The sequence below is a fragment of the Homo sapiens genome, chromosome 6 (genome assembly GCF_000001405.40).
Source record: "Homo sapiens chromosome 6, GRCh38.p14 Primary Assembly".
Lineage (NCBI taxonomy): Eukaryota > Metazoa > Chordata > Mammalia > Primates > Hominidae > Homo > Homo sapiens.
This window is the reverse complement of record NC_000006.12, coordinates 61,963,709-61,977,802: the sequence shown is the minus strand read 5'-3', so window position 1 is coordinate 61,977,802 and position 14,094 is coordinate 61,963,709. Positions and strand designations below refer to the sequence as shown.

Here is a 14,094-nt window from a genome sequence, read left to right as displayed (position 1 = left end):
AGACATGTTTATAAACAGAAATATATAATTGAAGTTGTATACTTTTTTATTGCATCTCCATCACTTGAAAGTTTATCGTTTGCAATTTACAATTAATAGGGAAATTATTTCCTGGTGTAGTGGAAAGGGAAAGAGATCAGATATGTAATAATTTGAAATAAGACAATGATATCATTTAAACATATCCAATGTATTTTCATGTGATGGCATGCCAGGTGTTGCCTCATAATAAAACATAATATAAAATCATCAATATTAGTAAAGCCAGACATCTGTTGACTTTAAACAAAAATTGGAAAAATAAACTCACTCTACCATGTGAGGGCAACAGAGAATGTTTATTTAGTAGGGCAACAAATTCAGGGTTGCATACTGGTAGAATTCTCTACTGATTTTCTAAGAAATAGAGGAAGGTTAAATGAATGAAGCTTTCCTAAAGATTGACAATTTAGCATTCTAGGAAGAAGTCATTCAAATAGAAATCTTGGCATCAGGCTTGGAGCTGGGAATAAGACAATTAGAAGAGAATGCTGAGTACAGTTTTCTGGAGCGTCTGGCAGAGTCTTCAACAGAGAAAGCACACAGCTAAGATAGATCTGCACAATGAAGAAACTGCAGATTTCTAAATAAGCAATAAACTAAGAGGAAATGGTGGGTAAGGTTCATTGATTGGCAGTGATTTTAAGAATGGGAAAAGAAAAATAAAACCAGAGAATTTCAAGAATTTAAAAGCATCAAGATCTAGTCACATAATCTATTTATATGTCCAGTTTAAAAATTAATTTCTGTCAAGGCAAGGTTATAGAATAATTGCAGACCGTTCTGATTATTCTTAACTTCATATGCACACTGAATTTCTGCACAATTTATTATCTGATGCTCATCTGAACATCTCCCTAACTAGATCTCATATTTATTAAGAATGAGGATGCTACGTTTTATTTTCCTTTTGCCTCCAAACTAAATGCCTAGTGCTGTATTGAGTAAGGAATTTTACTGTATTTAGTTCAGACCAGACCTCTGATAGCATACATAGTATAAAAATGAGACTAGGACTGTACATTACTAACATACTACATGACTTCAAGTCATTTAAATTCTCAAAGCTTCAGTTTATTCATCTTTAAAATGAAGATAATTATCATTGACCAGCCTCTATCACAGTTATGATGAATATTAAATGGGGTAATGCATATGAAAGGACTTAGAAAATTATAAAGCAGAATATTAATGGATGGTTTAAATATATTGTAGAAAATATAATAGAAATATCAAGGGATGATTTTCTGCATAGTTATTAATTGATATGTATATCTACACACATATGTATATATACATATATGTATATCCTACTCTGTAGGCTAAGTTAACACTCCTCTATTAGAAATGTCAGTAATACATCTCGCTTGCTCACTTCCTAGACAGAATGATTCTTGTAAGTATTTCATTTATATACTCTCCACTGAAATATATACTGTGTGAGGATAGGGCTGGCTGGCAGTATCTCCTTTGGCCAACACTGTATCCCCATCTTAGCATCATGCCTAGCACAATAAATATTTACTTGATAGTTTGACTGATGGAATGATGGAATGGCTGCCTATAGGCATGAGGAGTGGTGCAGGGGATAAAATAGCTATCCAGGTAAAATTTGGGGGCTAATACCCCACAGTCAAGATGCACCATATATACAGACTCAGATGAAGAATGAAAATATTACCATGGCTGGTGTGACCTGGCCATGCCTACCTCTATGATTTCATCTTGTATGTCTAACTTCTTATTCATTGCACTTCAGACATGCTGGTTTTTGTTCATTCAACAGTCCAGGCTCACTGCTCATTAAGCACCTTTGAAGATTATTCTCCAAAGTGTTGACATGGCTGTTTCCTTAGCATCCAGCTGTCAGCTTAAAGGTTAGCTTTGTAGAAAACTCTTCCCCAACCACACAATCTAAAGTAGCTGCCCCCTTTACCTTCTATCATGCAGTCTTACTATATTTTGAACGTAGTATCACTAACCACTCTATTTAACATTATAATTCATTGTTCCATTATACCTTAGTCCTTTTCACTTATTTTCCGCATAGCTCCTATCACCTTCAGATGTTTTATATCTCTCTGTGTGTGTGTGTGTGTGTGTGTGTGTGCATCTTGCTTATCTTTGATTTCTGTGCTAGAATATGAATGTCATGAGGGCTATTCTGATATGTCTCTCAATGTTTTATTAGTAAATTTTCCCATCAATGAAAGTCATAAATTTATCCCATTTGCCTTGCTTGCATCAGCAGAAAGCAAAGAATGGGAGAACCGCAAGGGGCAAAAATGAACTGCCAATTTTTTTTATTCTATGAAATGACTTGGTGATCTAAGGTTCTTTTGATATTTTATATTAAAGCCCACAGAAATGCTAAAGTTTCTATACATTAACATTTGCAAACATTGTAGATGAAGAATTCTAGGCAGTAAGAGACATGCTAGAACAACAAAGAAGGCTTATATAGGGCAAGACTCTGGAATTCCACTGACATCTTGTTCTTCTGCGAAAGGGATTAATTTTCCATGGTAGGACTTTTTACCTTCTTCTACCTCTTGTATGTTATCCAGAATTTACTCAACCTGCTGTATGTCCAAGGGTTGTAATTGTCTAAGATAACCAACTTTAGAACATAGAACTCCTTGTGAGCTGTCTGAATGCTTTAGGATGCTGGTAAACAACCCACTTTCAGCATTTTAAGTGGATTGCTGAAGACAAAAGAATTATTATTGCCTTGGGGAAAATTTCCAGCCTGTTGGTCTCCATTCACACACTGTAGTCTTTTATTTATTTATTTATTTATTTATTTATTTATTTATTTATTTATTTATTTTTTAAGATGGAGTCTTGCTATGTCGCCCAGGCTGGAATGCAATGGAACGATCTCGGCTCACTGCAACCTCCACCTCCTGGGTTCAAGCGATTCTCCTGCCTCAGCCTCCCGAGTAGCTGAGATTACAGGCACATGTTACCATGCCCAGCTAATTTTTGTATTTTTAGTAGAGATGAGGTTTCACCACATTGGTCAGGCTGGTCTCGAAATCTTGACCTCATGATCCACCCGCCTCAGCCTCCCAAAGTGCTGGGATTACAGATGTGAGCCACCACACCCAGACACACTATAGTCTTTTCAAAACAAATAGAGTGTCAAGGGTCAATAAAACACCTTTAATTTGAACATGGCTAATTTTAAATCTCTAGTACTTTTGGGAGGTGAAGTATTAAAGTTTTCATTATATTTGATTATTTATCTTAAAAATACAGGTTAGAATTGTAAAATAAATTTTTTGATGAGTAACGAGAAACAGGATATAAAATCCTAAACTAATATATGCTTCAATAATGTTGATGCACTCCTCTCTTTATATTCTATAAAGAGGTAAGCAAGTATTGCCACTATTGTATTTTATACTATTTCTTTCTTTCATAGTTCAGACACCAGGATTGCCACATATGGTTGTGAGAGTTGTGTCTTGTGCAACTCTAGGGGGTAACATTTACACCATAGTTTGTGAATAGTACTACCTAGGACCATGAATACAACTTTCCTATTTCTAATCCTTCTCAGTATGTTACTTCAAAATGATAACACTGTTTTATTTTCCTAAATTGGCTTATTCTCACCTTCAATTCAATTGAATTAATAAGTTTTACTAATGCTTAATTATTAACTCATGACTGAAACATAGTACATTGTCTCATAATTAGAAATTATGAAGTGTTGCATGAAATTCTGCTCATTGTGTGTTTATATATTCTTTCATTAAAAAGATGAAAGGAGGAGTTTTTGCACAGATAATTTGATTAGGTCATGGATAACAAATAGATTGCTTTTTTACATCTTCCAATAACTATCCTATTGACATAGTTAAGAGATTGTGATTCTCTTTTCTACCTTGGCCCATCATGGCCCAGAATCTTCCCAACACAGCATGCTGCACAGCGTTACAATATTAGCAGAGTTGACAGAACTTGAAAAATTTTGCCATGCCAGGCTTAAGTCTTTAATGATTATCACTAGAGGTCTATATAATTTAAAGGAAAGATATATATATAACTTATATACTTATGTAAACGTGTGTGTGTATGTGTGTAACTGTTACTAGACTCATATATAAGATTTTAAGTCAATTTAAGAGAGAAAAAATATAGATCATTCCAGTTTCTTTCTTTCCTGCATTAGTTGGATGTGTGTCTTAGTGATAGCTGTGATTCTTGAAATGGGGGAATTAGGGTGTATTATCTCATTTCAAGTTTGAGATACTGGTAACACATCTGGGAAACCTACCAAGAGCCTGACTATGGAGGAAAAGTAAAACCTTTTTCTTCTTTATGGCAAAAGCAAATGGAGGATATTCTTGCCTCCCTTCTTCAAACACTGTAATCCTAGTTCTGAAATTGGAAAATGTCACTGATTACTAACAGCAATCATACTGGTAAGTAAGTAAATGTAAGGAAAAATAGAAAAGGGAAGCAGAATTTTCAGTCTAGTAGATAGATCTAAACTTTCATACACTAAAAAAAAGTTATAAAGTTTTAGAAGATGATAAATATAAAAATGTGTCCCTGAAATTGATGCTATAATTTGAGAAAAAGTGAAAATTTGATCAGTCTATTTTTTATTTTTCTTTTTGAGACAGAGTCTCACTCTCTCACCCAGGCTGGAATGCAGTGGTGTGATCTCAGCTCACTGCAACCTTCTCCTCCCAGGTTCAAGTGATTCTCCTGCCTTAGCTGGGATTACAGGTGCATGCCACCACACACAGCTTATTTCTGTATTTTTAGTAGAGATGGGCTTTTGCCATGTGGGCTAGTCTGGTCTTGAACTCCTGACCTCAGATGACCCACCAGCCTCAGCCTCCTAAAATGCTGGGATGACAGGCATCAGCCGCCACACCTGGCTGATCAGTCTTTTATGCAGGTGAATATATAGGGAAAACAATGTATTCAACTAAACCCCACCAGCCAGCAAAAGTAACTGATAAATGGCAAGACCTAAAAGGTGAGAGATGGCAGATACATTTTGACTGGCTGACGGCAGGAGTTCAACATTTATAGCAATAATATCCTACAAGCAAGAGAATGATTGGTTACAGAATTTAAAAACAAAGTTCAATGCAGAGAGGGAAGCAGAATCCATAATCCAGATTTCATTCCTTCATTGTTGTGGTTGTTAAAATGTTGTCAAGAGTTCCCTCATACTGCTATCTCAAAACCAATTAATTCCCTTTTCTTTCTTGTAACTAACCATATTCTAATAGTGTGGTAGCTAATGGCAGTAAGCACAAAGCCACATGTATTTATGTAATTATTAGTTGCTCAGAAATATTTCCTGTATTGCTATAGTGCTATAGCACTATGATAATAGTCTGATTTTCTTGGAAGACATCTGTAATCATCTATGGAGTATTTCTTCTTATCTGATAAGTTGTAATAGATAATACAGATCTATTAGAACAAAACTAAAATTCTTATTAGTTCTTAGAATAGAATAATAGTAAGAATCATGATTATTATTATTGAAATCCAGGACTACTGTATCATTGCTAATTGATTGACATAACTTGGAAGACAGATAAAAGAAGCAGTTGGCATAATAATCATATGTCAACACTGACCTGCAAATAGCTTTTAGATGAATGTGACTCAAAAAGACTCATGATTACTGGAGATTGAGCAGAAAAGGTGCCCAGTAATCAGAATCTGTTAAGTAAGGTTTATAATTTTTATCTGAGATAAGAATTGGAAATAGGTGAATAGATCATACTAATTAACACAACAAATATTTCTGGACACCAAATATATGCCAGGCACAATTCTAGCAATGTATGGTACATGAGCCACTGACCTAGTAGAATTTAAGAACCAGAAAAACTATTTCTAAAATGTAAAAGATAAAGATTATAAAGACTTATTTGAGAGCTACTGGAAATGGGAAACCAGATTGGATAGTAATGTGTTTAAGGAAGGATGGTGGCAACAATAGAGCAGGAAACACTGATCAAACAGAAAGTGATATTCCTAGGGTCAACGAAAATCAATTGCTGGCAAAGACCACCACCATACAAACAAGGGTAATTTATCTACTGAGACAGAGACAAAGAGAGAAAGTGGAAGGGGGAGAGGAAGAGAGAGAGAAAGAGAGTTCGATTAGCCTCTTGAAAATATTGATGACCCACAGCCAAAGATTCTATTTCACAGTGAACATTTTAAAATACACCAAGAAACACCTCCAGAGTATAGCATATTTTGAAACTGATTTTTTAACAAAATTATGTATTTCTGAAATGTATCTTCAACTTCTAGCAACTAATTCTTACTTTTTAAAGAGCTAAATAACATAAAACATTTTTTTTGAATTGCCCTTCCTTGATTAAGTGATCTCATTTTACTACTTTGAAACTCAGCAAGCTACAATGAAAAATGTATTGATTCTTCCAGATGATATTTAAACTAGATAGCCAGGAAACTTCAGAGAATCCCTATTGTACCAAAAATATAACTTCTATCTCATCTTTAGTATTTTTGTTGTTATTGTTGTTCCCTTCTCATTCACTCCACGCCAGTCTTTCTACGTAGTGTATGTAAGGATGCATATATAACAATGCCTTAAAATACAAGTACAAATGGCTTACTGGATGGTCTGTACTCAATGTGATACAAATAGGACTTGGCTTTATTTTTCTTAACAACTGTCATTCTCCCCTTCTTATTCTTAATTTCAGCTTGAACAAATAACATAGTTTTCTACTCCTTCTTCTATAAGAAGAGTCTCAATTTAGGCATTTGAGGTTTTAAGAAGCCCACTTATTTCCAATTTATAATTGCCATTTCAAATCTAATACAAAACTCTTCTCCTCCCACAGGCTTAGAACAAATTACAGCTTGGGGAGTAGCAGTGGGAAGAGGGCATGTTATACTCATTCATCTCCTTGTACAGTCTCCAGCTTTTAGTGCTCCAAGAGCTTTGTGAAAAGGTCATGAAGAATGAGACTGGTAGGTGATGTGAACATAGAGCAAGAGAGGCGTAACACTGGTCCTGTAATAATCTAGTTGGCCTTGTTGGTTTGAGTCTTAATTTCAAATATTTTCCCCTGTTGGGGTATGTGAATGATAGACCAGTAGAACTGTTGCAAATCCTCAAATGACTTTCTTCCTTTTAGCTCAGTGGACTCTTCGATGTGTTCAGAGTTCTCACAGTGAAGTGTTCTCTCTCAGTAATCTCTAAATGCTAGGTTACCATCTTCCTGCATCCAGTGTTGCATGTGAGCTTTCTTCTGTGTACTTAACTTGGTCGTTTTGAATGAGAGCTGTAGTTCACCTTATACTTAGAATTCAAGCATTTTACCAAGATATGCTCAGGTGTTGCTCTTTTCTCATCAGCCCATACTTGAAATAAAATGATGGGATTTTTTTTTTAAATGCATTTGAAAGAGTCTGAAAATATGCAGTTTTTTTTTAACTAATCAGCTCTTTACTTTATTCATGCAAACAAGAAACTTTTCTTTAAATGACCCAATCAAGTAACATGGGAGTTCAATAATGAATTATTGATATATGATGATGGTGGTAAGAGCACCATTTTAAATTAATCAGTCAACAAGATTGCATGATATTATATATAGATACACACATATATAGAGAGAAGACAATCACTTATGTTATTTCTATCTACATAAATGAGTCAATTGTAACTTTCCAAAATCTGTTTCCTTTTATATTGCTACTATTTCTCAGATGTCTTTCATTCCCTTTCTTCGTTTTCTCTGTTCTGAACTTTAGAATTTTAGGGCTTGACTTCTATAATATGGAAACTTTAGTTGCTCTCTTATACCAAGAATAATAACATCTTAAAATTTTAAGAGATTTTATATGTTTTTTTTTGAAACACACCTCTCATTTAGAATTCTACGGCCTCCAACTAGTATTTATCTTTATTTAAGTCAGAATAAAATTTGAATACACAAATTCATATAATAATTTCACCCAATTTCACTGGTCTTGTCTGTTATCCATAGCATACTGAAGGGATTGAAAATGCCATCTGATGAAATTATTGCATTTTTCCAACATAAATTACATTTTAATCCTCTTCTGTTCTTTTCTTTTTATTCCTAATCTACTTCTTATTTGAGGAATTTGAAGCTTTAGAAAGACACTTTATAAGCCAGGATAGGTTTCAGAATCAGAGGAAAATGATTTTATAAGTGAAAAAAGAAATGTTTTACAAATAAAGGGTATATGAGTACTCTCCTTAAACCCATACATAGACAAGTTATAGTTAGGATAAGATTTCAGTTAAAACTAGTCCTCATGCAAAGTACAGACATCTTTTTAGACCAGACACATTGTTACAACAAAAGAAACCCACTGCATAAAACATATTTTATAATATTCTTTGTTTAGAGAGTGTACTGAATTGTTATGATTAACAATCTGCTAGTAACTGTGCATGTTAGTGATACAAGGAGAATAACCTTTTCTCTAGAACCTAGATGATGTCCTCACCAAAATGTGGCAAAACACAGGTCACTTCTTATAAGAATTACATTATCAACCTTAAGTTCTATGAGCAACAATAATCTGTTATCCAAAAATTCTTTATTTAGATAAACTTGCTACCCTTGCATTAAGCCCAGTTCACTTTATTACAGAAAAGATCTTATATGTAAAAGCTTTTATCTCAATACCTATGTGGATTCATTTCTATAATTATAGAACTGGAAGGGATACTTAAGCTCAAAACAATTAACAGGTTTCTAAGGCAATATAAATATTAATGTTTGGAAGAAAATACTTGAAATTCATTATTTTTTTCTTTCTTTTATTTTTGTCAATCCTCTAAAGAATTCTCAGAAGCCACAGAGCTCCAAAGAGGGTTATTTGAAAACCACAGGTGGAATCTAAGCCTCATTTTACCAGTGAGGATACTAAAGGCCAGCATGGTTACTTAAACTACCCGAGGTCAGGCAACAAAAAAGGGCCTGATCAGATGCCTCCTCATCAAGGATATTATCAAAATATGCAGGCCCAGATGCTGTAAGTTTTCTCATGCTGTATTGAAGGGCACTAAATAAGTAACTTGCAGGTGGCATGGTTTGTGTAATTAGTATTAGGCTTCTCTGTATTTAGAGAATCATATAATGCCTATTTATGGTTACATAGACAACTCTGGACTTATTACCATTCAGCAAGCACTTGCCAATATTGCTTTTAGTGGTAACACAGGTGCAATTTTTCCTGCACATTCTTAGATACTCATTAATTCAATAATATATTCATAAGGCTGTTCTATTTGGGGACCTCTTGTTTTCACTTTCTTATTTTCATGGCAGAAACATATTACACCCATTCGTGAAATCACTTCACGGTTGTTTTAAACATAGGCAAGGAGTATGTGACAGAACTGTGGTAGGTGTAGGGGCATGAACATATCATATGTTGGAATTATGCATTGCCAAACATTTTCAGGAATACTCTCATATCTAGAAGCAAGATGATGCCTTTTTACATTATAATGTGGTCATTCTCACAGTAAGAATGGTTAATAGTGCAATGTACTGAAATATATTTAGAAACTAGACTTCAGCAGCAAAAGAGGGACTGGCATGGTAATGTGTATATATCATTGGTTATTCTCAGGAATAAAAGAAAATACTATTTAAATTACAGTAACATTCTAAAGCTTAAAGATCCTCTTCTCTGAGTAATAAAGTTATAGATTTAACTACTGTGCCATGCACTGTGAGGAGTGCAGAGAGAGGGGGTATATTTTCAGTATGTGTGTGTGTGCATGTGTGTGTGTGTGTATATATATATATATATATATATATACGTGTGTGTATGCATGTGTATATATATATGTGTGTGTGTGTGTATGTTTGTGTGTATGTGTGTGTATGTGTGTATGTATGTATGTATGTATTGAGAGAGAGAGAAAAGGCCAGAGAGAGAGAGAGAAGGGAGATTCTCATGGAAATTTTAAGAGCAGGCAAAATAATAATGTAGAGCCTCACAGAGAACTGTGAGTCCTAGACAGTGTAGGAAATCTAATAAATAACTTCAACATTAAAATAATCCACCTCTCTCTGTGTGCTTATTCACTTTCAGCCTCTTCCCAACCGACTTGCTTACCTCCACTCTGCTTTCTTGACTTCAGAGCTTCTACTCACTCCTGGTTTGGGACTCCTCTGAATCTGGGTTTGCTATAATAGCTCTTGCCCTCTCCTTTCCCCACTGACCCTTTATAACTCTCCTTTCAGCTACAGCCCACCCTGCTGCTTCTTATTTTCATTCATATCTATCTATATCTATATCAATCTATCAATCTATCCATCTGTCTATCTATCTGTCTATCTATCTATCATCTATCTTCACAGCATACAGCTTGTAAAATGGCTTACATTTCCAAGCACTTTCAAATAAATGACTGTCTTTTCTCTCAAATTTCACAGATATACTATGATTTACTGTTATAAAGTATTTCACTTTTTTACTTTGTTTTATTTCTTTTAAGTCTGAAATTTCAGTGGGCTCATTTATCCTTTTTTTTTTTTTTTTTTGTAAACATAGTGGAAAGAAATCCTACTCCAATCTAATCATTTAAACATGGCACACAATTGTAATTTCATGTGTCTTGTTATATTTGTATGACTTTAAATGAACAAGATAATTTTAAAATTATAAAGGAAACTACCATAATTCTATTTTTTTAAATTTATCTCAGTTAAAAATATACATAATTTTTGTAGATCTCAGTGTATAAAACTATCCCATTCATTTATTAAACATAATTAGGAATTTTAAAATAAATCGACTGAATGTTTTTAGTTTAAATTAGGCTCATTTTTAGGATTATAAATATATGAATGAATGAGCATTTCTGACTATTGTACTGTTTAAGGAGAGGTTTTCTCTAAGTGCATGATAGGGAGAGGCAGAAAAAAAGAAGGAAAATAAAAAGAAATGTCTGAGCCAGGAAGCTAACCTGATCCTAGTGGTTTTATGGAAGCTTAAGACTCTCAAAACCCGTATTCCAAAAAATAATAATAACAACAATAAAGTTACAGTTAGAAGTTAGAATAGTTTTGGGGTGCTGTGGAATGCCATGTGACTAGTGACAGCATGAAGAATTGGGCTGCTGGATTTTGGCTTCTTAAGATATTGTGTAATTTGTATTTTCCGTGGTCAAGTAGATCACTGATCACTTAGAGATCACTTTCAAAATGAGAAGAAACCTCTGGATTCTCTGCCCAGAAAAATGCACATGCAAATTATCATGTCCCCTGGACAACAGAGGTCCAGGGAATTCACATTCATGGATCAAAGATGAGGGAGACTTACACTAGAAGCATCACAGTCATAGTATGGGAGAAAGAAATATTAAAATGCATAACTAAAATTGCATTAAAATGCTAAATTTATTTCATATTAGAAAATTATATGATCTATATTGAAAAGTACAGATCATTTTGCCTCAAACTACCCGAAGATAGTTGTAATAGAAAAGTACATTTTCTTACAGTTATCTTCTTAAATGAATGTTTTATCTTACGATGAGATAATTTTACTACCAAACTGTAATTCATTACCTTTCAGTGTAATTCTCATTTTCAGATTTCATTTTAAGCGTAAAACAAATTCTATGTCAATTATAGTACAGTTAGAATGTATTGCATCCAGAGATTTATTTTCCCCTGATATCAATCATAACAGTTGGTCTGCAGGAGCAAGAATGAGAGGAGGTACACTATGAATAATAGGAGGCTTTTCTGTCTATTGCTGATTGACCCTAAACTTCTTATCTAAGTAGTAAAATCAGGAAATGTAGCTCATTATAAAGAATATACACAAAGGTGAGGAAACTTGACTGTGGAATGTCTATTATATTTTAAATTAACTTATTGCAGTCACTCAAACGTCTCCTTCCAATTTAAGTGACTTTCTAAACATTATTCATCAAAATATCAGTACTCCCATTGCTCTCTACTCTCCTCTGCAAGAAAATGCCTTAACTTATCCTCTAAAGTAGGACAACTTTACCATAGTCCAGAATCTCCATATTTATACATTATATATATTATTTATTTATGATTCTTTGGAAATTAAAAATAACTGTACAATATTATAACAAAATAAATACTAACATATATTGGTAACCAGAGTGACTCTTCTTAGAATATCAGATTTTTCACTACCTGACCCTCAACCAATCTGGAAAATATCTACCCTCTCTTGCTTTTTAATCCCCATTTGCCTCCACTGATCATGCAGTTTTCAGAGATAAAAAGAAGAAACTGTAGGGAATAATGTTAACCCGAAAACTACACGTTTCTCCAAACCCAACTTGACTTTTGTCATCTGGTAAATACTTAGAGATCAGGAATGAGCAGGATGCCTAATATCTGGTCTCCTTCCCAGTCCTAGCGGTTGACCATACCCACAGCAGTCTAGACTGGGTCCTCTTGCCTCTTTCCAAGACTTTGAAGCTTCCAGACCCATAAAGGCTATGATTGATTTGTAAGTAGGGGGAGCAGATGTTTCAAGTGCCCTGAAATTGGCCCCTGGCACATGGCAAACCATAAGCCCTCCCAGAGCAGAGTGGAAACTCTCTGGACTCTTGTCACTGGAATTTAGCATTTCCCTTTTAATTTTTACATCTCAGCCCTAGAAAGCCAACATCAAACTCCTCTTTTCCAAAAAGCAACAGAACTTCGTTTACATTCACCCAAGTGCAAAGATTAACAAATTCTGTGCAACATACATGAATATTCATGAATATACAAGTATACTGAAATATAAAGTGAAACATTAAAATATCTAAATATTTCTGGGTATACAGATGTTTACCCATGTGTAGAACAAAATGTACAGATATTTGACTAAAGTATCTTTTATCCTGTTGGTAGACTGTATTTTTGCCTAAACACCTGTGTGGAAATCTGTTTAAGTGCTTTTCCTTTGAAGCACATTTCTGCCACTGCTGTTTGGCTCATTCATCTGTTATTTATGTTACAACTCAAATGTCAGAATCACTTGAAATCTAGACCAAGACAATGATTCCTCAATTTATTTTTTTAGATAACTCAGTATCTGTAAATCACATTAGCTAATTAAGTTCATCAAGTGTTACTTTAAAATAATTCAAAAATCAAATCACAAGCAATAACAGGCTTTTAATTTCAAGGAGAAAAAAGCTTATTTTTTAGAAATAGTCAATTTGCTTTCATAAATTAAAAATTCGATGTGTAAATACACTAGTGGACATCTAATATGCTGGGGAGACATATAAGTTGACAGTGAATATGCTATTTGCAAATGTGTCTCTCTTCTCTCCCTAATGAAATTCAGCTCCCTGAAGTCAGAAATCAAAGCTGGATTATACTTTATAAGCCCCATGCTGCCTGATGCGATTGCTTGTGCCGTCATTCTCAATAAATATTGATTGATGAACATAGCCTCTTACAATGTGAACAGGCTAAAAATGTTTAACTGAATTTTTTCATTAGCCAGAAATTCTTCTACAACATATATATGTGTGGGCTCCTAAAAAGCAGCATTACTCCTCTGTAGCACCAATTGATACAACAAACTGTAAGTGATAAATCTTGGCTTCATGCTCGATTTTTTTCTGTAAGTGAACTTGTGGTAACGAGCCGCAGTGCAAGGAGGTCCGATATTTTGTACTGTGATATATTCAGAGGAAAAGAAGTACATGTCTTTAGATGACATTACCCTTCATAAAGTCAACTGGAAAACAGAATTAAAACTGGTCATTCCTTTGGGAACAAGATGAGAATCTTAAAAGTTGTCTTTTTGTTATGGAAAAGCTCCTTTAAACTTTAGGTGTAAAGGAAGAAACAATATTTTCCTCAGCTTAATTTTTAATATTTGGTAAGAAATTATTCTAATTTATAGATCACAGAAGTTATCTCCTTTAGTTATCGAGAAGAAACCTTTCACTTGGATTTATCAGGCCCACGTACATGATTGCACATCAAAATGTGAGGGATGAGGAGAAACCCTTGTAAAATCCTGCCGGCTATGTGTCCCAATTAG

At 34.2% G+C, this 14,094-nt stretch overlaps 1 protein-coding gene across 7 annotated transcripts in view; it reads left to right on the top strand.

The window, feature by feature from the left end:
- KHDRBS2 (KH RNA binding domain containing, signal transduction associated 2) overlaps window positions 1–14,094 on the top strand; it is a 743,556-nt gene that overhangs the window by 308,423 nt on the left and 421,039 nt on the right. The gene's annotated exons all lie outside the window — the stretch shown is intronic.